The 26126-nt window shown below is 39.2% G+C and overlaps 1 protein-coding gene and 1 long non-coding RNA gene across 13 annotated transcripts in view; one reads left to right on the plus strand and one right to left on the minus strand.

Moving 5' to 3' along the window:
• The window catches only part of SAMD12 (sterile alpha motif domain containing 12), a 490139-nt gene that overhangs the window by 168693 nt on the left and 295320 nt on the right, over nt 1-26126 (minus strand). The window lies entirely within an intron of this gene.
• Nucleotides 1-26126, plus strand: part of LOC105375724 (uncharacterized) — a 141651-nt gene that overhangs the window by 19135 nt on the left and 96390 nt on the right. For 4 of the 6 annotated variants that reach the window (XR_001746056.2, XR_007061073.1, XR_001746063.3 and 1 more), the window contains one exon: nt 1597-15507. The exons of the other annotated variants lie outside the window; for them this stretch is intronic. This is a non-coding gene — a long non-coding RNA (uncharacterized LOC105375724). Of the gene's footprint in view, nt 1-1596; nt 15508-26126 lie in introns of those variants that run through there. 6 annotated transcript variants of the gene reach the window in all.

The following is a 26126-nucleotide window of genomic DNA, read 5'->3' on the forward strand; positions in this document are numbered from 1 at the left end:
GAAATGCAGTCTTTCTGAGTGCTCAGGATGAGAAATAGGACGGCAGTAGTTTTCAGTGTGTCGTCCCACATCAATAGCATTGGAATCTACTGGATCTTGTTAGAAATAAAATTCATAGGCTCCAATGAAGACCTACCAGATCAGTGGCTCAGCAATCAGTGTTCCAACAAGCCCTTCAGGCGATTCCAATGTACATTAGAGTTAAAGAACTACCAGCCTAAGTGATTATCTAGCCAGTCTCTTTCACATCTTTTTTGTTAATTCTTAAATATTACAGATTACTGATAGGTAGCGCATGTTCATAAAATTGTATATTCTTCTGAGTATGTATGCATTTAGTCTACTGAGAATTAAACCTTCGATTTCTACAATGTAAACACATCTTACCTATTTTAACATGATGCATAAAGATGGTTATAAAAAGTGCATGCATTTTTGAGCATTCATTTATGGAGTCAAATAATTTTATGCACTTGTAAGCATTTCTTAAAGGTTAAAAGGTTTAAAGATGACTGGTAATAGTTGAACCATTTGCAGAAACTCAAAACAAGCCAGAGTAGAAATGCTGATGACAAATTAGAAGCAGGATTATATAGACTAAGATGGGAATAAAACCCTGGGACAAAAACTATATAAAAACCTTAAGGAGAAAGAAAAACTTTTTGAAAATGCAAAGAGCAAAAGGTGGTGGGGTCACTAGATGTGAATAACTAGCAAGCTGTAGTCAACATGGGGACCTATAACATGCAACATATGTTATTATACAACTGTGAACACCATTTAGAATAAAAATGTGAAGGAAAAATTCAAAAAGCTGTCACGATGGAAATGGTTCTCTTGACCCATTGACTAAAACAGTTTCTTCCTTATTAAAATGCTCACTGAGGGTGGGCCGTTCAAAGCCAAAAGGTACAGATACAAAAGCAGCTCAGCCATCATAAGCCCATAAATGAATGCCAGGATGAATCACTAACCAGTACTTAATCATGGACACCCACAAGTTGCTCTGAAAGCTGGAGGACTAGATTCATTAAGCGTTGTCTCTTAAAACAATCAAGTTGTACTTCTGTTTATGGTAAATGTATGCATAGGCAAACTGCCTTAATAGTTCATGAATTATTCTTCAGAACTGCTAAAATGACATCTGTCGTGATGGATATATTTTATTTTTTATTAGTTTTTAAATTATGAAAGTCTTACAGGCTCCTGAACAGAAGTGATCCATATGGATGAATACAGAATAAAAGTCAACATTCTCCTCTTCTGCATTTCTACACTTCTCAGATGGAATCATTGCTACTAATTCTTTATGTTATTCTTACAGAAATTCCTTACAGGTAGAGTCCATGACCAGTATTTTAGAAACATCTCATTTCAAACAGGTATCTTAATAGGCTGTCACAAAGAAGGCAAAGATAATACACTGAGAAGATGGCAGTGAAAACTGAGAAAATTTAGAAAGCTCGGGCTAGGGACAATAATAAGACCAGTATATAAATACACAGATACTAGATTCAGGTAAAACTCTTCACAACATTTTCTAGCGCCAGATCTTTGAGAGTTTTTTTTTTTTTTTTTTTTTTTTTGCTGGAGCAGATTAAAAGAGCAGAGGACCAAAGAGAGAAAAATTAAACCTCCATCTTATTCATGGGAGCTTCAGGAGAATTTGGATGCCTTTCAGGGAACAACAGGGAAACCCCCTCACCTTCAGTTGTTCACTTTTCTTGAATTGTTAAGGTCGCATCTTGTATTGTGAACAGTAGCATCTCGAATTTGTAGCCACATTCATTTAGTTCTTTGCTCATAAATTCATTTATAATGTGTTTATTGAGTATGTACTGTGTGACATTAGCTCTGATTTCAAAGAGCTTACAACAGAGCTAGATAAAACAAGACCAGGATATTTAGAACATTTGGAGAATAACGAGAGGATATATAATAAAGGGCTAAACTGAATATAATTAAATGTCAGCCTGCATGGTGCCATGAGCAACAGTTAATTAAATCCAGGCCATAATCCATGTCCTGGTTCTAAGAAAAGAGTCTCCTACAATCTCTTACTTTCCACTGTAACTAATACCTGGAGTTCAGTCCAGTAACGTAATTTAGCAATGGCTATATTTCCATGCTCAAAAGGGAACTCTGTTGATCTTGAAATGTGTATGTGTGTTTAAAAATGTCTATTTAATTTTGGGGGGAGGAAAGGTAGCTTTGATTGCACTTGGTGATTGAGTCTTCAAACTTAATGCTTCTGGGAAAAAGATAGCATAGACTCATAAAATCCAGAGAGAAGTCCAAGAAATCAGTAAGACCAATCCTTTACCTCCAGGTGGGATAGAACCTCTGACCTATTATCTAGGCAAAAAATTATAGTGAAATTCTCATATATCTTTTCTCCCAGCATATATTAAATCAAAGTGCAACTAGGCATCTGTTATTGGAGCATTATAAAGCCGTATGTGATATTCACTAATACTAAATGCCTGGAAGGAAACTAAGTTAATACATATGGCTTTAAATTTACAAGTGAAGACTCATCCATCATCAAAGACCCAGAATGCTCACTGCCGTCACATTAAAAATAACTTACAAAAGATATGTTTTCATTTGTGTATCATCCCCTTCAACACAGGAAAGCAAGAGAAGGATATGTGTGCATTTCCTGGACTTGATCTGGAGCATGCAACACATTCTACAAAGGGATTAAAGGGCCTGAGGTCTCTTAGACACGTTGTGCCAATTTCATGTCAGAGACAACTTAAGCTGTGGAGTCTTCAAATGAATGGTACTTATGCATCCTGCCAAAGTCATAAGCATTACTGGAGGTTCTTATAAACAAGAACAACAACTGTACATTAGGGACAGATAGAAGACAGTTCTGGAATGGAATCCTGTGGTGATATCCCAAATACTGTATGGTTTCATTTACCGGAAGAAAGAACATGCAGCCCATATTCTACTTCACGTATCTGATTAGAGAGGCATTACCAAGAGCATTTGTTTCAGAATTCTACGATTGACAAAAGAGAAAGAGGAAACAAAATCCTCCTCTGTCTTCATTGTTGGCAGGGCCTTCTTAGGATCGCAAAAACAAAATTTCTTTCTCTTCTAATTTTGACCTTTTCTGTTTGGCAGACGTTGACTTTTTTTTTTCCTGACTGTGTTTCTAATGGAGCCTGAAATTAACATGGCGTTTTGTTTACCTCCTAATTTGTGTGCTGCCATCATCAATGTTGTCAGCATAGTTCTGGGAATAGGGTTTGTTTCTGCTTCTCTTGAGCCAGCAAAGGAAGAAATGCAGAAAAGGCTGCTCTACTCATCCCATTCCAGTTTAAAATCCTCTTCTTTTCACAGAAATGGTCTTAGCCAAGCAGGCAATGACCTTCTGCATTGTTGGCTATAAAAGCCCGACAACGATCTTCGAGTGCTTATCCTCGATGACATTTATGGGCTGCTTTTGACACAGCTGAGTATTCCCTGACTCCCCTCTATTCTCTGTTCACATGGTACCCAGAAATCGAGCCTTCCTAGTTGTCTTCATCCTTCAAAGGATGCCTTGTGGGCCCGGGTTCTCCGCTCTTCTCCTATTCTTTGGTGAAGCTACCTATTCCAAGTCTTCAGGTGCTCCCTATAAAGAGAGGACACTCGATTCTTCCTGAATTTTTTATTTTGCCTTCGCTTTCTCACACTAAGTTATGCTTATGCTTCATGGTCATATCAAGCTCAGTTTGGGAGATGGGGAGATAATATTTCTTCTGTGAGAAAGTGTTTTGAAATGTCACAACAATTTTTAGAAACAGAGATGGGTTTTGCTTTGGTCTTTAAGTCTTCCTAGTCTTTTGATCCCACTGTTTTGTCCATTAGTCAGCTTCTATTATTTCATTACCAATATTCATCTTCTCCAGAAGCATTTTTCAATCAGTAAATACATTTGAAAAGCATAAGAACCTCTTTTTAAAAATGACTTATCCAGTGGCTCACGCCTGTAATCGCAGCACTTTGGAGGCTGAGCCGGGTGGATCATGAGGTCAGGAGATCGAGACCATCCTGGTTAACACGGTGAAACCCCGTCTCTACTAAAAATACAAAAAAATTACCCGGGAGTGGTGGTGTGCGCCTGTAGTCCCAGATACTCGGGAGGCTGAGGCAGGGGAATGGCGTGAACCCGGGAGGTGGAGGTTGCAGTGAGCTGAGATTGTGCCACTGCACTCCAGCCTGGGCAACAGAACGAGACTCCATCTCATAAATAAATAAATAAATAAATAAATAAATAAATAAATACACAAATAAATATAAACTTTTTAAAACTTAAAAAGTACTATTTTAACCTTTTAAAAATGTACAGCTCAGGCCAGGTGCAGTGGCTCATACCTGTAATCCCAGCACTTTGGGAGGCTGAGGCGGATGCATCACTTGAAATCAGGAGTTCAAAACCAGCCTGGCCAACATTGTAAAACCCTGTCTCTATCAAAAATACAAAAATTAGACAGGTGTGGTGGTGGGCGCCCATAATCCCAGCTACTCGGGAGGCGGAGGCACAAAAATTGCTTGAACCCGGGAGGCGGAGGTTGCAGTGAGCCAAGATCGCACCACTGCACTACAGCCTGGGCAAAAGTGACTCCCTGTCAAAAAAAAAAAAAAAAAAAAAAAAAAAAAAAGTCCAGTTCAGTGGCATTAAGTACGTTCACAGTGTTGTGCCACCATCATTGCTATCCCTTTTCAGGACTTTTTTATCCCAAGTAGAAACTCTGAACCTGTTAAATAATTATTCTCCATTGCTCCCTAATCTCCAGCCCCAGACAAGCTCTATTCTACCTTCCATTTCCATCAATTTGCCTAACCTAGGTACCTCATATAAGTGGAATCATATTTGTCCTTTTGTATCTGGTTTATTTCACATAGCATGTTTTCAAGATTTCTCTCTGTTATAGCATGAATCAGACTTTTATTTCTTTTTATGGCTGAATATTTAATTGTATGTATATACCACATATTGTTTACCCATTTGTCTGTTGATGGACATTTGGGCTGTTTCCACCTTTTGTCTATTGTGAATAATGCTGCTGTGAACATTGGTGTACCAGTATCTGTTTGAGTCCCTGCTTTCCACAGAAGGACACTCTTTTGCTTTACAAATGTATCAACTTCATCCAGAAATAATGTCTAGAAAGGTCCCAGTGATTACTAATCTATCCAGGTCCACAACTTGGGTTTGGGTGTTGCTCCAGTCACTCACCTGTTTGCTTTTAGATCAGTGCTTTTTCCTTCTTTGCCTACTCTGTTTGCCTGGGATGACATTGCCTAGACTCCCTTGCGCTACACCTTCCAGGTAGTTTTAGCCAATGTGAAGCATTGGAAGGAGGCCGAGGGACAGAAGAGGGAATATCCCTCTCTATATATCACTTTGCTTCTGGTGGCGTCTTTGGCAGTGGCTGCATCTCCTCCTGGTTCCAGCTCCTACTACAACAGTCCACTGGGTTCCAAGTTCTGCCAGGCAGCCTGTTACTTCGAGGTTCTGCCTTGTCCTTTGTCCTTCCAGCTTCAGGGAAGGTAGAAACTTCCTACTGTTGCTAATTTCTGGGCTGCCTCAGTTTTGAAGTTTCAATATTCAGCTCTTTTATCATTTGTGCTGTCAATTCCTTCCATTATGTTCCTTCTTTTAAAAACACTTGGAGTGGCATCTGTGTTCCTGACTAGAACCTCACTGATGAATCTTCTACTGGAGAAAGAAGTTTCAAAGTTTCTTAGGCCATAGAACCTGTGGTAGTGACTCCTGGTTGTCCTCAATATATAATCCATCTAATATGAATATTTAGCTGTGATTCTGCCTCTCAGCCTCTTTTGTAGTTTAGCATGGCCATGTGAACAAGTTCTGGCAAAAGTGATGGAATCAGATGTGCTGGATGGATGACTCTAAACCTTCTTTAAAAGTCAGCTGTTCCATACCCTCTGTACTTCTTCCCCTCTTCTTCCTGTGGCTTGGAGCATAAATGTGACCACTGGAGTTCCATCCTGGAACATGAGAACAAGGACTTCATTCTAAGGAGGGCAGGACCAAAAGCTAGAAGGAACCTGAGTCCTTGAGAACTCTGTGGAGTAAAGCCACCACCCCAGCCCTGCTCTTCCTACCTCTGCAATTTTACATGAGCAGCAAATAAAATTCTCTTTTGTCTAAGCTGCTGCTATTTTGAGTCTGTGCTTATTGCAGCTGAATCCTAACCGATTCAGGATCCAAATCATGAGCTCTGTGTCTGTCCTAGACTGCTGATGAACTTTCTGGTACCTTTCCTTACTTCATTAAAGCAAGGTCCTTGATCTTCCGATCTTATCCTAAGTTTTTGCCTTCTCCTGTTTATACTTAGAATTGACGTATCCTCATCTGTGAAGCTTTCAAAAAGCTTTATTCCTTTTAAGAGCTTCTGCTTTGCCTACTAAGTTTTCTCTGAAAGCAGGGTAAGATCTGGCCACTGACCAAGCTGATATCCAACCTAGAAAATGATTAAAGCCTGAATGTTAGGGAATTTTTAATTAAAAGCCTGGGAACATTGTTCCTTGGGTATTAATAAAGTCAGTAAAATGGAGAACCAGCATGACCTAACATCACAAGAAAGGCCATTAGTGTCCTAGTCTGCTAGCCCCTCTTCATGGAGCTGATGGGCTGTAACTGCACCTAATGACTGCCAAGCATACATAAATCTCACCTATACTTTATTCAAGTGGGTGTCAATTAGAAATGTGGACTTCTGGAATGGTGGCTCCCAAATGTTGTTGTGTGTGAAAATCATTTGGGGAAATTTGTCTGAAATGAAGATTCATATCCTTCCACTCATGATTTAGTTGGATGCGGTGGGGGCCATAAGCTATCTGTTCAAAAGGACCCCAGGTGCCTCTAAAGCACATGGTCTATGGACCACATGATGAGAAACATTGCTTCTGGGAAGCTCATAAATGCTGTAAAGCAGCCACAAGTGAAGAGAGCTGTCATCAGCTGGGGGTGGGATTAGAGAACATTAATTGATGTCTACCACATGCCTGGGGCTCTGCTAGGCATAATTCAGACATCAACTTAGTTTATGCCTACAATAAACCTGCATAATTATTATTGTTACCCTTGTTTTACAGTGAGCAACCTGAGGCTCAGAGAAATTAAGCAATTTGCCTAAAGTTACAATGCAGCTTCAAAGCTGGGGGTGTGTGTGCTAAATACATTCTGTTTATTCCTCTGTACAGTTTGGCTCTATACACTTGTTCATCGTGCTTTGCGCTCCTAGATGCTGACCTGTACAGAGGGATGCTCTGCCTCTGGCTTTTGTTTGGGTTGGGTTCTGCCAATGTGAAGTGCTGGGAGAAGACTGGAAAGAAGGAGAAAGGCGAGGTCAGGGTATTTCTTCCCCCGGCCTCCTTCACTGTAGGTGGCCATGGCTGCTGCCCTTGACCAAAGGTCACAGCCCTTATGACAGCCCTCTTTCCACGTGACTGTTTTCTTCCAAGTTCCTGTAACTGTTCCCCTTCTGCTAGAGAGAACATCAGGCCTCATGCTGATAACTGGTAATTCCTGTTTTCCTCTCTAGCTAGGATGAGGTAGTATGCTAACCTTTTGTTTCTCTACAGCTTGTCCTTCATTTTGTAAACATAGTCATTTCTTCATTAAATTCTCCAAATCACTCACTCATTTGAGCGTTCCATTTGTTTCTTGCTGGGAACCTGATACAGGCTGTTTGGCTCTGAAGTCTTCCTCTTTCCACTCTTCTACACCCCCTCATTTCACCTTCCTCACATAATAATTGTGATGATGGTGATGATGACGATGGCAATGATACCAAGACACTTACTGTATGAGCACTTATTATATGCAAGGTGTTGTGCTGAGAACTTTACATAAATGATCTTATTTAATTTCCACAACTACCCTATGCATTAGGCACTGCTTCACTCCCATTTTGCAGGGAGGAAAATGAATTTCAGAAATTAAGTAATTGACCCCAGCAGAACCGGTAAATGTTGGTGCTGAGATATGAGCAATACTCACTCCTTCTACCAGGCATCAGGGCCATCATCACACAATATTTTCCCAGCTAAATGTGTGAGTAAAATTCTTGAAAATAAAGATGTCGAAAAGTCGATGTTACTTATTTTTCAGGCTTGAATCAGAAAAAAATGCCTTCCATTTCAAAAAGGAATATGTTGTACACATGACTTTTTTTTTTTACTTTCTCCATCACAACTTAGTTCAGACCCCTCTACTGCACAGATGGCAAGTTCTAATAGCTGCTTAACACGCCTCCAGCCTCTCCCCATTTTATTCTGCACCCTGCTTGTCACACCATCCTATAAATGTTCTTAAAATTTATTTTGATTATGGTCATGCTTCTGGAAATAATCAATATAATTCAAATGATTACTTCTAGGAAAAGCCCAAATTTTAGGTAATACAAAGACTTCAAGGATAAGATCTTTCTTGATTCCTAAATCTTTTATTATTATTATTTCAATAGGTTTTTGGGGAACAGGTGGTGTTTGTTTACATGAATAAGTTCTTTAGTGGAAATTTCTGAGATTTTGGTGCACCCATCACCTGAGCAGTGTACACTGCACCCAAAGTGTAGTCTTGTATCCCTCACCCTCTTTCCACCCTTTCTCCTGAGTCCCCAAAGTCCATTGTATTATTCTTCTGCCTTTGTATCCTCATAACTTAACTCCCACTTATGAGTGAGAACATACAATGTTTGGTTTTCCATTCCTGAGTTACTTCACTTAGAATAATGGTCTCTAATTCCATCCAGGTTGCTGCAAATGCCATTATTTCGTTCTTTCTTATGGCTGAGTAGTATTCAATGGTGTATATATATATTTGAGATATATATGTGTGTGTGTGTGTGTGTGTGTGTGTATGTGTATTATCACATTTTATTTATCCACTTGTTGATTGACGGGCATTTGGGCCAGTTCCATATTTTTGCAATTGTGAATTGTGCTCTTACAAATATGCATGTGCAAGTATCTTTTTCATATAATGACTTCTTTTCCTCTGGGTAGATACCCAGTAGTGGGATTGCTGAATCAAATGGTAGATCTGCTTTTAGTACTTAAAGGATTATTCCTAAGTTCTTTTTTCAGACTTGAATATGACTACTCCCTTATATATTCAGAAGCCTAAAAAATCCAACCTATAGGCCTTTGCTTACAGAGTTATCTTTGCTTAGAATTCTACTCCTTCTCTTAAAAATTCCATGAAGGCCTCCCTTACCATCTTCACTTAGCTCCTGGGTCTCTGATGACATTAGTCCCATATTTTCTGTCTTGTGTTGCCACAATTTATGCTCATGCTTAAGGACATTAATTCCTCTCTCCCTACTGTGCTCCTCTCAGCATATTCCTGTATCCATGACACAAAACAGACCTGCATTCTTTAAACATACTCTCTGGTTGCAGAGACCATTGAAGGTACTTAATAATTATTAAAGGAAAGAAAGCTTTACAGCTTCCCCTACTTTCCTTATAGAACAGGAAATTGACACCCAAGATGTTTGTTGTCACTTTCAAGAATGAGGACAGGAAGAGGCACTAACACTTTTGCTGATGCTGTTTTTCCTGCTTAGAATGTTTTTCTTCTATGTGCCTCTTTAGACTCTATTCATCCTTCAACCCCAGATATTGCCTCTCTAATCACACAAAAAAATCACTCCTTCCTTTGTGCTGTTTCCTTTGTTTGGTCTCCTTTTTTTTCCACTCATGCCTCAGACCTAATATTGTTGGTTTATCTGCTTGCTTTTCTACCTTGATGAGTATGTGGTGTTCAGTATCTATTCCAGTCTGTCTCTAGTGTGCCTTATTGTACTGAAGAGGCTGTAAAGCCAAAAACTAAATTTGCAAGACTCCTTTGCAGCTAGATTGTAGGTTCAGCAAATTAGATTGTCTTTTTTGAGATTTGGATAGAGAAAGTGAGGTGGAGGCTGCACATCCACAGCTGTGAAAGACACTGAGTTTTCTGTGGCAGAGCTCTGAGGAACAGCCAGGACTACATGGGTATCCAGAGGCAGTTGCAATGCTGGTGGTTTTCTGATCCCTGGATCACTGCTAAGGTGGGTATGCTCTTGACTTCAATGATTTCCCTAGGATTCTCCTGAATGCCTACCTTCTCTTGTTGAGGCAGAGAGAGAGTTGCTGTCCTCACAATGTCAGACGGGTGGTCTTGTTCAGAAGTCATTTCTAGAATGCCAGCAAAGAACTTGGACTTCCTCTAGCGCTTCCAACAATTTCCTAAGCATCTAATTCCCTATATTAACTACTTTCTGCTGAAAATAACTCATGTGGTTTCTATTTCCTTCACCTGAGCCCTAACTAATATTCCTACCAGATAGATAGTTTGTTGAGGGCAGGGTCTGTATCTTTTTATCTTTGTATCCTCTGTATCTTGAATGGCACCTATGACATAGTAGAAAGATTTTAATGCATGTTTATAGGAATAAGCATTTGGCTAGTCTCCACAATACACTAAATGTTCTCTGTTACCTCATTAATTCTCACAACAGCTCTATGAAGTCAGGGTAATTAGTCTCATTTTACAAGTACAAAGGTGAGGCTCAGAAAGATTTAGCAAACTGCTCAAAGCATCTGATACAGAGCCTAGTAGCTGTTATCAGACTGCAGGGAAAATCTGCAGCCTTCGAAATCCTTGCTCTTTTTATTGCAGTATTGCTTCCTTATATGATAAAAGGATTTCTGAAGAAAAAAAATGAAACTTGGGTTAGGGTCATATACATTTGAGAGCAAGGGTTAGCAAACTATGGCCTGTGGCCAAATCTAACCCACTACCTTTTTTTATGAATAAAGTTTTATTAGAACACAGCCAAGCACATATTCATTTACATATGTCTGTGGTTGCTTTTGTGCTACCACAGCAGAGTTGAGTCATGGCAACAGAAACTCTCTGGCCTACAAAGCACGAAACACTTACTATCTAGCCCTTTATAGAAAGTTTGCTGATCCCTGTTTAGAGCATCTCTGTAACATATAGTTATGCTAGGCTTATCCAAAGTTTCAGATGAACTTTGAAGCAGGTCTAGGTGATTGAAAACAAGACATAAATTCTGAGGCTCATATGCACTTGGAGTCTATGTAGTGGCCTTGGCCTTATTAAGTCTCTCAGAAAAGAATGTTCTTTTTGGTTTTCTTAGTTGGCTTATTTTTCTTCTTCCGTCTCTGCAGCACACCCATCCTTCTCAGAAACTCTGTTTTCCTCAGCTCTTTATTTTCTCTCCCTGGAAAAGCTACCCTTTCACTTGATTTCAATAATCACCATCCTTTTTTGATCACGAAGGCTTTTTCTCTAATTAATTCCCTTAAACACCTCCAATCATATCTCCAACAGTGTCAATTATTGCTGGTTTTATATTTTACTATGACCTCACACTCAGTAGGTCCAAAAGGCAGTTAATTATGTATCTTCTCTTCAGTGTTCCGTCTTTACTACCATCCTGTGATTCTTCTCATATTTGGGCTTGACATCAGTTGGCCTCCTCAATCTTATTTTGCCTTAGAAATGTGCCCACATCTTGCTATTTCCTCTTCATTCCTGGGATCACTACACCTTTACACATTTTCACCATCTCATATCTGGATTATTTTAATCACCATGTAGAGGTCTCTCCCTTTCCCTACACACCCTGCAGTGCTCTCTTAACCTTTAGCAATTGCTACTTTTATCATGTTATATAGCTTTGCAGAGCTTTTGGCTGTTTATCTGTTCTTGCATCAAATATAAACACCCTCTGACTGCTGCTCTACACTATGCCTGTCTCTGAATGCTTCAGAAGTTCATAGACAAAATCTGTCAGTTCCAGCCTCTGTTGCTGATTTTTACTTGAAAGGCCATCCTCATCCCCTCCATGCCTCTGATCTTCACATCCCTCCAGACCCAGATCATGTCCCATCTCATGAATATTTACAGGGCCACTTCCTCTTCTCTTTTGTTCTGTTGTCTAAACTCTTATAGTCTTTACAACATTTATTTATATATTGTCTTAGAATATCATTTGATATGGGGTAGTCTTTTCTCCTCCTCATTTAAATATGGTTCTACCATCCCCACCATGGCCATCTCCAACTACAGCTTTTATTAAACCACTTGTAGAGTGAATATCCATGCAGGACAGGCTCTCTGTATTTTTAATGTGTTATATCTAATACAACAACCTTTTGGATAATGATTTTATCTAAAGTGTGCAATTGAGGAAATTGAGGTTTAGAAAGGTTAATAGTGAGTCCAAGTAAGAATCATCTAGTAAGAATCAGAGCTAAGTTCAAAGGGCTAACTTCAAAATCCCTGATCTTCCCAGACTAAACTCATAGATGACACAGAGACTGAGCAAGGGAAGCTTAGTTACCTTGACTTGGTATTAAATGAAATAACAGTATTCCCATAGTTACTACTAAGGAATCTTGTCCTTTCTTAAGATGACTAAACCACATTGGTAGGGAGACAACCATAGAAAAACTGAGAATTTGCATCCACAAAGAGGAGATTATATTACATAGGTCTCAAAATTGGAGTTTTCCCTCCATCAAGAGCCACTGGTACAAAACCATTAATGGAAGTATTTAAGAGATGCCCTCTCTGTCACATATCTGCTGTGGGATTTAAGGAAGGAATTTTCTCTTCTAAACACTCACACATCCAAACTAGAAATCCATGTGGAATATAAGCCACGTTATGCCCCTATATTGACATATTAGTTCAAAACTCTGATGGCATGCAGTTGTGAGAGCAGCAGGGAGGAAAATTATATAACCTGATGGCAACTTGATAATTTATACTTTGAGATAACTTATTCTGGATTTTCCTCACTTGTATTTCTCCACTTGGCCACGTACAAAGCAACAGCTGCAGTGGTCGTTTTGGAGTTCCTCCAGGATGTGAATGTGAGACCTGCCAATCTTCCCTCCTCCTTTCCTGCAGGTACCTACCTGCAGTGACTCTATTGGCAACCCCAAAGTGCTAAAGTTTATCAAGAAGTATGTGGAAATTAACAAAGAATTCTTTCTGTCTATAGAAAGCATGCTATATTGGGACCTTTCGGTATAGCAGACAGAATGTGTAACAAGAGACTAAAAAAAGCAATATGGTTCCTCCAAGCAGATAGTGGTGGCTGGGGGTAGAAGTGAACCAGAGACAGTTAGTTTATATACCTCTGAAGAGAACATCTCCTGTGATCCCATTATTGCATTTTTTCCTAAGTCTGAAATATTTACCCTGGTTTCTATGATTTAATGGAAAGAAAAAACGCTGAAATGCATAAAGGTTTTCATTTCTGATAGAAATTTGGTGATTATCTAGTATTGAAATTTGGCTATTTTTTGACATGTGCTTGTGTGTGTGTATGTGTGTGTGTGTAGAGGGAGAGAGGAGATGGGGGGATCTCATGCTGATGAATAATTCTGAATTTTTACTTGAAAGATATTTAAAGTAAAGGTTCTTGAGGAGGTGATTTGTGTCTTTAATCTTGCTCAAATGTAAAATAAAGTGTAATTCTAAACATCTTTAAATGTTCCTAATTTCAGATCTCACTATCCTCATTAACTTAAAATCAAGGAACAAATATAGGCTTGGCATTTTCTATATATTTTTTCTGTATCTGCTAAACTATTTTAATTCATAAATTCTATAGCATAAAATAAAATGGAAATACCATTTGTTAAGCAGGGTAATGTGACTCAGTGGTTGCCAGTGGAAACCTGAAGATATAAAATATACCAGCTTTCTTCTTTTTTTAACTTTTTATTTTGAAATAATTATAGACTCACAGGAAGTTTCAGATAAGTGTACAGGGAGGTCCTGTGTGTATCAAAATGAAGAAACTCACATTTATATAATCAATCAATTTTACAAGCACTTGTGTGTGTGTTTGTATGTGTGTGTGTATTTCTATGAAATTTTATCACATATGTGGCTTTGTGTAACAAAGATACAGAGCTGTTCCATTACCTACAGGATTTCCTTGTGCTATACTTTCATAGCCACATCCATCCCTCACTCACCATCCCTGACCCCTGGCAACCAATAATTTTTTTTGCCATCTCTATAATTTTGTTATTTCAAGAATGTTATGCACATAGAATCATAGAGTATATAACCTTTTGAAATTGGCTTTTTCTCCACTCAGCATAATTCCCTTGAGATTTTTCCAGTTTGTTGCCATGTTTCAGTAGTTTGTTCCTTTCTGTTGCAAAATGATATGCCATGGTGTGGATGTACCACTGTACATCCTTACACCCACTGAAGGATAACCTTACACCCACTGAAGGATATTGGATTGTTTCCAGTCTTCGGCTATTACAAATAAAGCGGCTATGAACATTATTATACAGGTTTTTGTATGAACATAGGTTTTTATTTTTTCTGGGACAAATGTCCAACAGCGTTCTTTTTAAAGAAAAGAAACTTCTTAAAAACTTTTTATTTCTGCCTTATGCAGTAAGTAGAATAATAAAACTAACTTCACGTACATATTTACCTAGTGTCTTCCTACTCATACTTAGTTGATAACTATGTTATCTCGCCTCTTGGAAAGATTCTTTTCCTCTGTTTTCTGACCAAAAGCTTTAGAGGACTGGCTTGGTGTTTCATTCTTATGGAGACATGCTCACATGGAACCACTGCCATTTGCTTTTGGTGAATGCTGTTAATTTCTCAACTGCTTTTTGTAGCTCATCTGAAATAACAATAACAAAATTCCCAAAAAGTGCAAAGTCTCATTCCTGTGTTCGAGTTTTAAAACTCTGAAACCTAAAGATAAACTTAACCACATATCAAAATATCAGGTCAATATAGATATTCACCTTGAAATTATAGGCAATTACCCTAATTTGCATGAATAGCTTCCCCCAGATCTCCTAAATTCCTGAGTTTAGATTTTCCCAGGAGAGAGTGAGAGATCCATCACCTTATCCTTTGTAAGGCATCTGTGGGGTGAAGAAGTTTCTCTGAGCCAAGAGAGAGCCATGGATTCTGTCATGAATTAGGCACTGGGAATGGGATCATGGGAAGTGAGAGTGATGAAACATAGACTTGTTACTCATATGTGGTTCCTTGAGGGCTCGGGATAAGTGTCTTAAAATAGTTATTTTGGAATAAACCTCACAGCATTTTAGATGCCATCAGAAGGTTAGAAAAAAAAACTTCCAGAAGCCTCCCATTAGGGACAGTGGAGGGAACCCAAAGCTGAACTACCCACCTAGGAAGGGGCTGAGGAAGGAAAAACTGCTGCAGGCTGAAGAAGCGTCCACCACTGTGGGACTGTTAGAAACTTCTAGGGGGTGCTGGTTGGTGGGGGCAGCATCTGCTGAATGGAGTTATTACCAGGTTTCCCCCTGAGAGCTGCAGTCCCAACATCAGAATGAAGAGATCTAACTGCTTAGAGATTTCTGTTACCATCTTCTTTTTGATGTGAATTACTCTTGAAATGCCGGAGAAGGGACAAATTTCAAAAATAAAATGAATCATACAAACATTGTCAGCTTATTTTTGCGTAATGGCATTAAAAACAAGCAAAAATTCTAGAACTCTCTCACATGCTGTTCGAAGGAAAGTTTCCCTGAGACTTGAAGGCAACAGATGCCACATACTGAAAGAAGGTAGACGACTACCAGACAAGGTTTGCAAGGGAGGTGGTGTGAAAACCAGTTCCATTATCTTGACCCTCAGCCATATCAAGAGCATATAAAAGTTGGGAGATTGGCCAGGTGCGGTGGCTCATGCCTGTAATCTCAGCACTTTGGGAGGCTGAGGCAGGCGGATCACAAGGTCAGGAGATCAAGACCATCCTGGTCAACATGGTGAAACCCCATGTCTACAAAAAAAAAAAAAAAATTAGCTAGGCATGGTGGTGCATGCCTGTAAGTCCCAGCTACTTGGGAGGCTGAGGCAGGGGAATTGCTTGAGTCCAGGAGTCGGAGGTCGCAGTGAGCTGAGATCATGGCACTGCACTCCAGTCTGGTGATAGAACAAGACTGCCTCAAAACAAACAAACAAAAATTTGGAGCTTATGTTTAAGGAAGATTTATTTAAAACACACAAAATATCAAGTATTTGGGGAGGATGTGGAACAATTAGAACTCCCTTTGACTCCTGGAAGGAGTGTTAACTGGTACAACCACTTGGCGGCACTGGGAGACTCTACTAAAGCTGAACATATGTGTTATGGAATGAATTGTGTCCACTCCCCGCAAAATTCTTATGTTGAAATCCTAACCCCCACAGGGTCTCGCTCTGTCCACCATGCCTGGCTAATTAAAAAAAAGTTTTTTTTTTTTTTTTTTTGTAAAGATGGAGTCTCACTCTGTTGCCCAGGCTGGTTTTGAACTCTCGGCCTCAAGTGATCCTCCTGCCTTGGCCTCCCAAAGCGCTGGGATTACAGGTGTTAGCCACCGTGCCTGTCAGAGATACGAACTTTAAAGAGGTAATTAAATTAAAACGAGGTGATTAGGATAGGCACTAATCCAGTATGACTGATGTTCTTATAAGAAGAGGAAATTTGGACACAGACATGCACAGAGGGAAGACCATATGAGGACACAGGGAGAAGACAGCCATCTACAAGCAAAGGAGAGAGGCCTAAGGAGAGACCACCTCTACAGACACCTAGATCTCAGATTTCTAATCCCCAGAATTGTAAGAAAATCAATGTCTGTTGTTATCCAGTCTAAGGTACTCTGTTGTGGTAGCCCAAGCAAATTAGTATTAATACAATCTACCTGTCCTGTGGCCCAGCAAACCCATCCTGAGTATGTGTCACCAGAGATGCATAAATATGTTCACCCAAAGACGTGTCCAGTTATAGTCAGAGTAGTCCCAAACTGGAAACTACTTAAATACGAGAATTATGGAATGCATAAATAAACTGTGGGATGCTCACATGTTGAACAATTTTGAGTAACGAATAAATGATCGAGAACTGCAGACAATACATGAACCTCATGATGAAAATGTTGAAGAAGGTAGATACAAAGAGTATATAATGTACAATTCGGTTTATATAAAGTATAAAAACAGTTGAAGCTACTCTTTACTATTAGAATTTGGCATTTATCTTTGGGGGACAGTAGCTGGAAGGGTGCAACAAGAAAGGCTTCTGGGGTGCTAGTAATGTTCTATTTCTTGATCTGGGTGCTTGTTGCATAGGTATTCAAATTGTAAAAGTTTGGTGAACTGTACAATTAATATAGGTGTACTTTTCTGTGTTATACTTCAATGAAAATGTTTTAGTGGGAGATTTTTGATAAAGAAAAGTGGGCAAGAATCCTTCATCTCTTAAGTTGCTTGCATTAAATCAGTAAGAAGAAAACAAATAATCTCATCAAAAAGTAGGCAAATGACATGAACAGACGCTTCTCAAAAGAAGATGTACCAATGGACAACAAATGTTTTAAAAAAGTTCGACATCACTAAACATCAGGAAAATGCAAATTAAAATTACAATGAGATACTACCTTGCTCCTATAGGAGTGGTCATTATTAAAAAGTCAAAAAACAATAGATGGTGGTGTGGTTGTGGTGAGAGGGGAATACTTATACACTGCTGGTGCGAATGTAATTTACTACAACCTCTCCGGAAAACAATATGAAGATACCTTAAAGAACTAAAAGTGGATATACCATTTGATCCTGCAATCCCACTAGTGGGTATCTACCCAAAGAAGTTATTATATGAAAAAGACACGTGCACACATATGTTTATTGCAGCTCAATTCACAATTGCCAATGAGTAGATTAAAAAAATATGGGAGATATATGTGTATATATATATATATATATATATATATATATATATATATATATATACATATATACCATGGAACACTACTTGGGCATAGAAAAGGAATGAAATAATGTCTTTTGTAGCAACTTGGATGGAGCTGGAGGCCATGATTCTAAGTGAAGTAACTCAGGAATGGAAAACCAAATACCCATATGTTCTCACTTGTAAGTGGGAGCTAAGCTATGAATACACAGAAGCATACAGAATGATATAAAGAACTTTGGAGACTCAGGATAGTGGGAGGTGGGTGAAGGATATAAAACTACATATTGGATACAGTGTAGTCTACTTGGGTGATGGGTGCATTAAAGTCTCAGAATTCACCTCTATATAAGTCATCCATGTAACCAAAAACCACTTGTATTCCCAAAGCTATTGAAATAAAAAAAATATTAAATTGCTTGTATTTGCTTGAGGGAGAGAAGAAGGCACTCCTTTCTGACCCCAACCCTGGGGAGGGGGCTTCAAGGGACCCTCAAACAAGGTGACATGTGTCTTTAGGAGCTTGAGGGACAAAGTGAGAAATCTAAAGAGCCTGAAGCTGTGGCTAGCTAACTGCTCTGGTGGCAGACTAAATGAGAGATTTTGATGCTGGGGACAGTTTGTCCCCAGGTTTGTCAGGGCAAGGGGCTACAGCAGCATTTCTTGTGGGTAAGAGCTGGACCACCTTGCATGAGAAAGTTAGTATGGAGAAGTGAAGGGCTATCCAGGGAGGCTCCTTAAAAGTAAAAACACACCTCAGCCATAAAGCTGGAGCATTGCTGGAATACTATGAGTATAAACCATAAGGTATAGTTCATAAATATCTACCATGAGTATTCCAGAAACATAAACTTGTACAAGGGCACAGATGCATTTGCCATAGGTGAGTCACCTCCATTAATGGGGGTGGTGGGATGGTGGCAGTGTCTAAAGAAACCATCAAAGAACAAACAGTTGCCACCCCTCAAGAACAAGGGTCAGCTTATGACAGTATTCATCAAGTAAGAACCTTCCTGACCCACTTCTCTCCCTTCACCCTGTTCCAATCATGAAAAAGTCAGAAACTCCTAGTCAGCAAGGGAAGGAGTTCTGTGTGACACTGGCAGAAAAAGGTGACTTGTTTTTCAACATGCTCCACTCTGAGAAGGAGAGGAAACCACTAACATTTGAATTTTCATTCATAACTGAGCTATCAAATTCCTAGCAGAAGTTGTGGCCCAAGTAATTAAAACTACAGAGCAAATTCAAGGGGTTATAAATTGATATTATGCTCCAACCCTTATACTTAGAATACCTGCTTCTCTCCCAGGGCTACACATCATTTTCAGGCCAGATAAGACTCCCTTCCTCCATGATGCAGACGAGGAAGAGCTATGTGTTCAGCAGAAGTAGGGGTGAGAAAGAGGGAGCAACTGAGGGTAATCCTGAGTGATCAGGAAGAGGCTGATGGCAATAATCAAAAGATAGATGCAGGAGAAAAGCGCAGGTTTGGTGTTTGAGATAATATATAAGTTTAAATTTGGTGTCTGAGTTTGAGATGCCTCTGGGATAGAAAGGTGAAAATCTTCATTGGACAGCTTGGCATTCAGGAAGGAAGCTTAGAACTCGCTAGAGTTAGAATCATCAGCATATTGGTGCACTTGGTATCTTAGGAGTAGGTGTGGTTTACCAAGGAGAATACTGGATCATTACTTTTAAAAGAGAGATTAGTGGAGGAGCCTGTAAAGAAACTGCAGAGTAGGTAAGGAAAAGAAGAGTGAATTTCCTGAAGCTGAAGCAAGAGAGCCCCTTGAAGAAATAAAGCGATCAACTGTGGCAAAATTCTACAGATGTCATGGAAAGGAAATATTCAACAGTACTGATTTAACTTCAGAGGACTACAGTGATATTAGAATGGCTATCTTGTGAAAAAAAGTTGAGAGTGAAAGTCCAAAAACATCAGACTGTGGAACAAATGGGACATGACAGAGTACAGGAAATTCACATGGACGACTCTAGAAATCTAGCTTTGTGAGAAAGGAGGGCAAAAGCTTAAATATAGAAAGGGTTAAGGGAAGGGATCCTAATGTTTTCTTGTGCCATGAACTCCAGTGGCAGTCTGTTGAACCCTCTGGGTCTCTTTTCAAGAATGTTTTTATTTTCTTTTTTTGTTTGTTTCTTTCAAGAATGTTTTTAAATGCAAAAAAAGGAAAATAGAAAATTACAAAAATCAACTCGTTATATTGAAAAATCATTGACCAAAATAGTTTTTTAAAAAAACCAAACACTGCATGTTCTCACTCAGAGGTTAGAATTGAACAATGAAAACACTTGGACACAGGAAGGGGAACATCACACACCGGGGCCTGTCGTGGGGTGGGGGGGGTGGGGAGGGATAGCATTAGGAGATATACCTAACGTAAATGATGAGTTAATGGGTGCAGCACACCAACACGGTACATGTATATATATGTAACAAATCTGCACATTGTGCACATGTACCCTAGAACTTAAAGTATAATAAAAATATATATATATATATAAAAATCTATAACAGAACAATGCATGTGTGTCTTTGTCAATGCATTAATTATTGGCAGAAATAATACCATATTTGGAAGTAGTGATGAGTGCAAACAAATGATATCTCTAGGTATCTTCAGCAACCTTTATGTGATAAAAAAATCACCTGTGACCTGGTGACAAAGTCACATGTATTGCTAAGAATATTGAGTTTTGTACCCTACATTTGTAATAAAAAGTTGAATTTCAGCAAGAAGTTGATGAATACATATATAATAACATATATAATATATATGATATATATAACATATATATCATAGATAATAAATATATATATATATATATATATATATATATATATATATATATTCTTCATCAGCCCTCCTGAATTCTTTCCATGGTTCCTTGAGAAAGGAATGGATCCAAGGATCTCAGGTTAAGAATCCCTTGCTAAGGGAAAAGAGGTGTTTTTTTTTTGTTTTTTTTTTTTTTGGTTTTTTTTTAAAGAAAAGTAGGCTTGGCACAGTAGCTCACGCCTGTAATCTCAGCACTTTGGGAAGCTGAGGTGGGCAGATCACTTGAGGTCAGGAGTTCAAGACCAGTCTGGCGAATATGGTGAAACCCCGTCTCTCCTAAAAATACAAAAATTAGCGGGACGTGGTGGCACATGCCTGTAATCCCAGCCACTCGGGAGGCTGAGGCAGGAGAATTGCTTGAACCTAGGAGATGGAAGTTGCATTGAGCCAAGATCACACCACTGCACTCTAGCATGGGCAACAGAGTGTGACTCTGTCTCAAAAGAAAAAATGAAAAGAAAAAGTTGTTCGTAGATAGTGGAAGGTTTTGAGTCTTCCTATGGCAGTATGACAGCATAATGCAGTGTGTAGGGGTAAACTTTGGAGCTACACTCCTTGGGTTTAAATCCTGGCCTTCCTATTTATGAGCTATGTGACATTAGGCAAGCTATTTAACCATTTAATTTCCTTATGCCTCAGTTTCCTTCTCTGTAAAATGAGGATGATAATAATAAGCCCTCTCACAGGTAATTGTAAGGTTTAAATATAAATACTTTAGTTGTTATTAACTTGAACACTTTCTACTCACTCAATACCCTTGGCCACACAGAATGCCTTCAGTTCCTCAATGTGCCACATTCTTCTTCCCCCAGAGCTGCCATTCAAATTGTCTTGCAATCTGGAAGATTATCCCTCCTGTTCACCTTACTGACTCCTCCACCCTTTGGGACTCAGCTTAAAAACCCCCTCCTCAGAAATGCCTTCTCAGAGGTGTCTCTGAAATAGGCCTCCCACAATTACTCTTTCCTCTACCCTTTGGGACTCAGCTTAAAAACCTCCTCCTCAGAAATGCCTTCTCAGAGGTGTCTCTGAAATAGGCCTCCCACAATTACTCTCTCTCTCAGCATTCTTTGTCACAATTTGTGATCATTTTATTGGTTCTTATGTCTGTAGTGGGCTCCATAGTGATGGGGGCTGTGTCTGTCTGGGTCCCCTCTGTTGCTGCATGCCCACCACATAATAAGCTCTTCATAAATATTCATTAAATGAACCACTGAATAGGGAGCAACTGAAGTTATAAGGGAGATCCCTGGCTACATGCCTGTGGGCAGTTCATCAGCTTTTAACGTAGGTATGGGTTTCATTAGTCTGTTCTCAGTCATGTTCTGGAGCTGGTGGAAAGCCAAACACATTACTTACATTAAAATGTTTACAAGACAGCATTTAGCTTTTCTTCATGTACTAAAAAGACCCTTCTCTCTGTCGTAGGCTGAACCAAGTAAAGCTAGACCTGAATATAAAATCCTGGGCTGTGGTATAACAGTTCACATTCACGTAGGCAGTACACATGGTATCCATGGGTAAAGTTTCCACCAAGCCAGTATTTTACTATCCAAGTGATGGAAGAGACATTGATCTAGCATTCAGGAGCCCCACTTCCAGTTCTTGTTTAACTGTTCACGTTTAGCTGGGTGATTTTATGCAAGTCAACCTCTCTGAGCCTTAGGTTTTTAATCTTACATCTTCATCATTTTTTAAATTAAAAAAAATTTAAAAATATTTGTTGTGGCAGAGACTGCTACTCACCAAAATCCATTCTTTCCTTCATAAGACAAGACTATAATTCGAAACTTCCCTTGAAGCAGGTGGGATTCAGGTCTTGCCAACAGAATGTAAACACAAGTGATGTCTGTAACCTGTGTTTACTTGTTGAAGGCCCTTTAGTCAGGCTGGAACGGCAAGGACTGGAGCAATCTCAAAAATGGCACATTAGAGATGGTAGAGCTGCTGTCAGACTGGAGTCCTAAATGTGGAACAGAGTCACCCACTGACCTGCAGCCTTTGATTAGGACTGTTAAATGAGAAAGAACTAAGCCATTAACTTTTTGGAATATATTTGTTACAGCAGCTAGTGTTTGTTTAACAAATATATATGCCCTATTTATATTATAAATTGTGAGAGATAGATCTAATGTATGGGAATGAACAGTGTTGGGAGGTGACAAGTGCTGCATGCATTTGTCATCATATTATTAATACAGAGAAAACAAATGTCTAGTAGAATGTCTGACATAGGATGTCTAATATCTGTTGAATGAATGCATGGATATCTTGCTGAAAAAAGTCCTGAGATTTAAAAAAATCTACACCGAACGTGGTGGCTGATTCCTGTAATCCCAGCACTTTGGGAGGCCGAGTTGGGTGGATTGCTTGAAGCCAGGAGTTTGAAATGAGCCTGGGCAACATAGCAAAACTACATCTCTACTAAAAAAAAAAATTATAAAAATTGGCTGGGTGTGGTGACACACACCTGTAGTCCCAGCTACTCAAGAGGCTGAGGTGGGAGGATCACTTGAACCTGGGAGGCAGAGGTTGCAGTGAGCTGAGATCACGCCACTGCACTCCAGCCTGGGTGACAGAGTGAGACCCTGTCTTCTTTATGCCTCACTTTCCTTCCCTGTAAAATGAGGATAATAGTAGCGAGATCCTGTCTCAAAAAAAAATCTGTACAACACAACATCACTGGCAATACTTGTTTGCACAGGGGAAACCTTTAATTCACTTGGACTCATATGAGTAAAATAAAAACCTCCTATACATACAGGTTTTTTTCAAGAAGATTATTGTTTTCTTTTTAATACTTTTTCCTTAAAAATTACAAAATACTAAATAACATTTTGACAAAAGGAAAATGTACCCTTAATCCCATTACCCAAAGAAAGCTCATTCATTTTTGCCGATTCCTTCTAACTTTTATCTATGTGCATGTCTATTTTTAATAGTTATGTCTGTTTCTTCTTCTCCTTATTTTAAAATAAATTTTAATCTGTATTCGGTAAGGAAGGCACAGGCTTAATAATTCTCCAGAAAAGATTTCAACAAAGAACCACCTAATATTTCTAACAGTTCCAATTTAATTTTGCCAAGGGGTTCCATTCTTATTAAAAAGCATACCAGGGAGGGAAGGTGATTTTCATAAGAAAGTACACGGAGTTGTTAATTCTGACTACAATTAAGGTGATCAAGATTATAAATGTCACAATTTTTCTGCTTTCTATTTAACAGCTATCTTGTGGGTCTTACAAGGATTACCTGGAGGGCAAACGAGTGCATGTGGACTGTATTCAAGGATATAAGTGAATTTAATAATTAATTCAATAAATATTTATTGAGTACCCACTACATCTCAAACAGAAGGTGAACTATAATGAATAAGACACCATGCCTACCCTTGAAAAGGTTATAGTAGGGATGAAAAACAAGAAGATATTGCTGTGAACTTAAAGTAGGGGTAAGCCCAGAGAAGGCATGTGGAGGAAGTGAGACCTGACATTTGAATTGAAGTTAGACAGACAAATGGGTAGAAAGAAGATTGCCCAGTCGCATGGGCCAAAGTAAACAGAAGCAGGAAAGAGCATGGTGTTCATGGGACCGCAAGTGATTCTATATGCCTGATGTTAACAGAGTCCACTGGGGGAGAAGATGAGAATGGTGCAGTAAGCGGAGGTCATGTCACAGACAGTGATAAGCTTCATCAGAGTAGTGATCATGTATGTCCAGTGCTGCCTAGAACAGTACCTGGCACATGGCTATTCAATCTGTATTTGTGGAATGAATTAACCTACACCATGCTATGCAGTTGACTCACAACTGGTCATAGGGATTTGCCTCTTGTTGCAAAGGAAGAGCAAACATGACTGGGAAGAGATGGCTACTCTTCTCTCTCCAGAGCCTGCATCTATGCTGGTGCTTATTGGTATGCTGGGTATGTATGTGACTACTGCCTGCTTTTCAACACAGGGATACTGCTTTAGTCTCGTGAGCCCAAGCTATTTGCTGCTAAACAGCAGAGATGTGGCAATGGAACCCTAATTTGAGAATTGCCTCCTTACCCTAATTTCATTTTTTAAATAGGAGCAGGAATGCCACAAATGTAGCTTCTTGGGACATGCTTGCAAAGGAAAGGTATTAATGCCATTTCTAACTCCTAATCCTAGAAGCAGAGTTGGGGTGGAAGGAGAACTAAGGAAGAAACGAGGGGAGAGAGTGAGAAGGAAGCTGTGAAGACTTCTCCTAATTATTTCTTTGCTCCCCCGGGTTTATTGAGGTATAATTGACAAGTAAAAATGAAATATATTTAAGGTATAAAATGTGATATTTTGACATATGTGTACCTTGTAAAATGCTTGCCACAATCAAATTAATTAGCATATCTATCAACTCACACAGTTATCTTTTTTGTGTGTGTGGCAAGAACACTTAAGATCTCTCAGCAAATTTCAAGTACGCCATGCAGTATTATTAACTATAGTTATGATGCTGTGCATTTGGTCTCCAGATCTTATCATGACTGAAAGCATGTGCCCTTTGACCAACATCTCCTCACTGCTCCCAACCCCAGGCCCCTGGCAACCTAATTGTTTCTTTATCCTTGATTGTAGTCCTCTCTATTTTTGAAAGTATTTTTAGCTGAAATTGAACATCAATGATGTAAAAGTACCAGAAGTCTTACTCTCTAGGGAGATGAATGGATTAATAAACCAGGTCTAGCAATACTGAATAATTTGGAGGCAAAAACCAGATTTGACTTACAACAGCCCAGCAGGGCGGCTTACTTTGGAAACATTTTGCCAGCGCTCTGCTGAGCATACTAAAAATGCATGGTGCTGGCTGACTTCACGCCGGAAGCCCATGGATTCAGCTGCTGAAGAATGATGTGAAATTAGAGAGAATGAAATGTGTGATATTACTTAATCACACCTGGTGCTTCAATTTCTTAATAATAGTGCCCTGCTCCACTGTTGAATTGGATACATATATGTATATACTTATGAATTATTGCTAGAGGATGGATTAACTCTCTAATGCCTGCCAATCCATTGCAGGGATTGAAAATGCAAATGACAACTAAGTTTTCTCATAAGGAACTCAGGAACAACGGTTCCAGGACCAGGATTGACATAAAATTACCATGACTTAGGGGAAAGTAGTGAAATGTCACCTCCTAAAAGAAGCCAAAAACTCAGGGTCCCAAGTTAGGGGAAGGCTTGGGGAAGATTATCTATTTTTACACCCAAAGTATATCCCGGGTTATACTATATGTCTGCTCTGATGACTGAGTGACTTACATTGCTTTAGATTTCCAGGAGGATGACAAGTACCCAAGAACAGGGAAAGAGAGCCATTTCAGCTTATTTAGGAATGTGTATCTGTGAGGAATTTAAAAGTTTATCAATCTGTATATGAATTGATGCTTAGTAGAGATCACCATCCTCCCTCTAGCCCCCCAACTAAGGAATTGTTACTTTAA

Source organism: Homo sapiens, chromosome 8, assembly GCF_000001405.40.
Source record: "Homo sapiens chromosome 8, GRCh38.p14 Primary Assembly".
In the NCBI taxonomy this organism is placed as follows: Eukaryota; Metazoa; Chordata; class Mammalia; order Primates; family Hominidae; genus Homo; species Homo sapiens.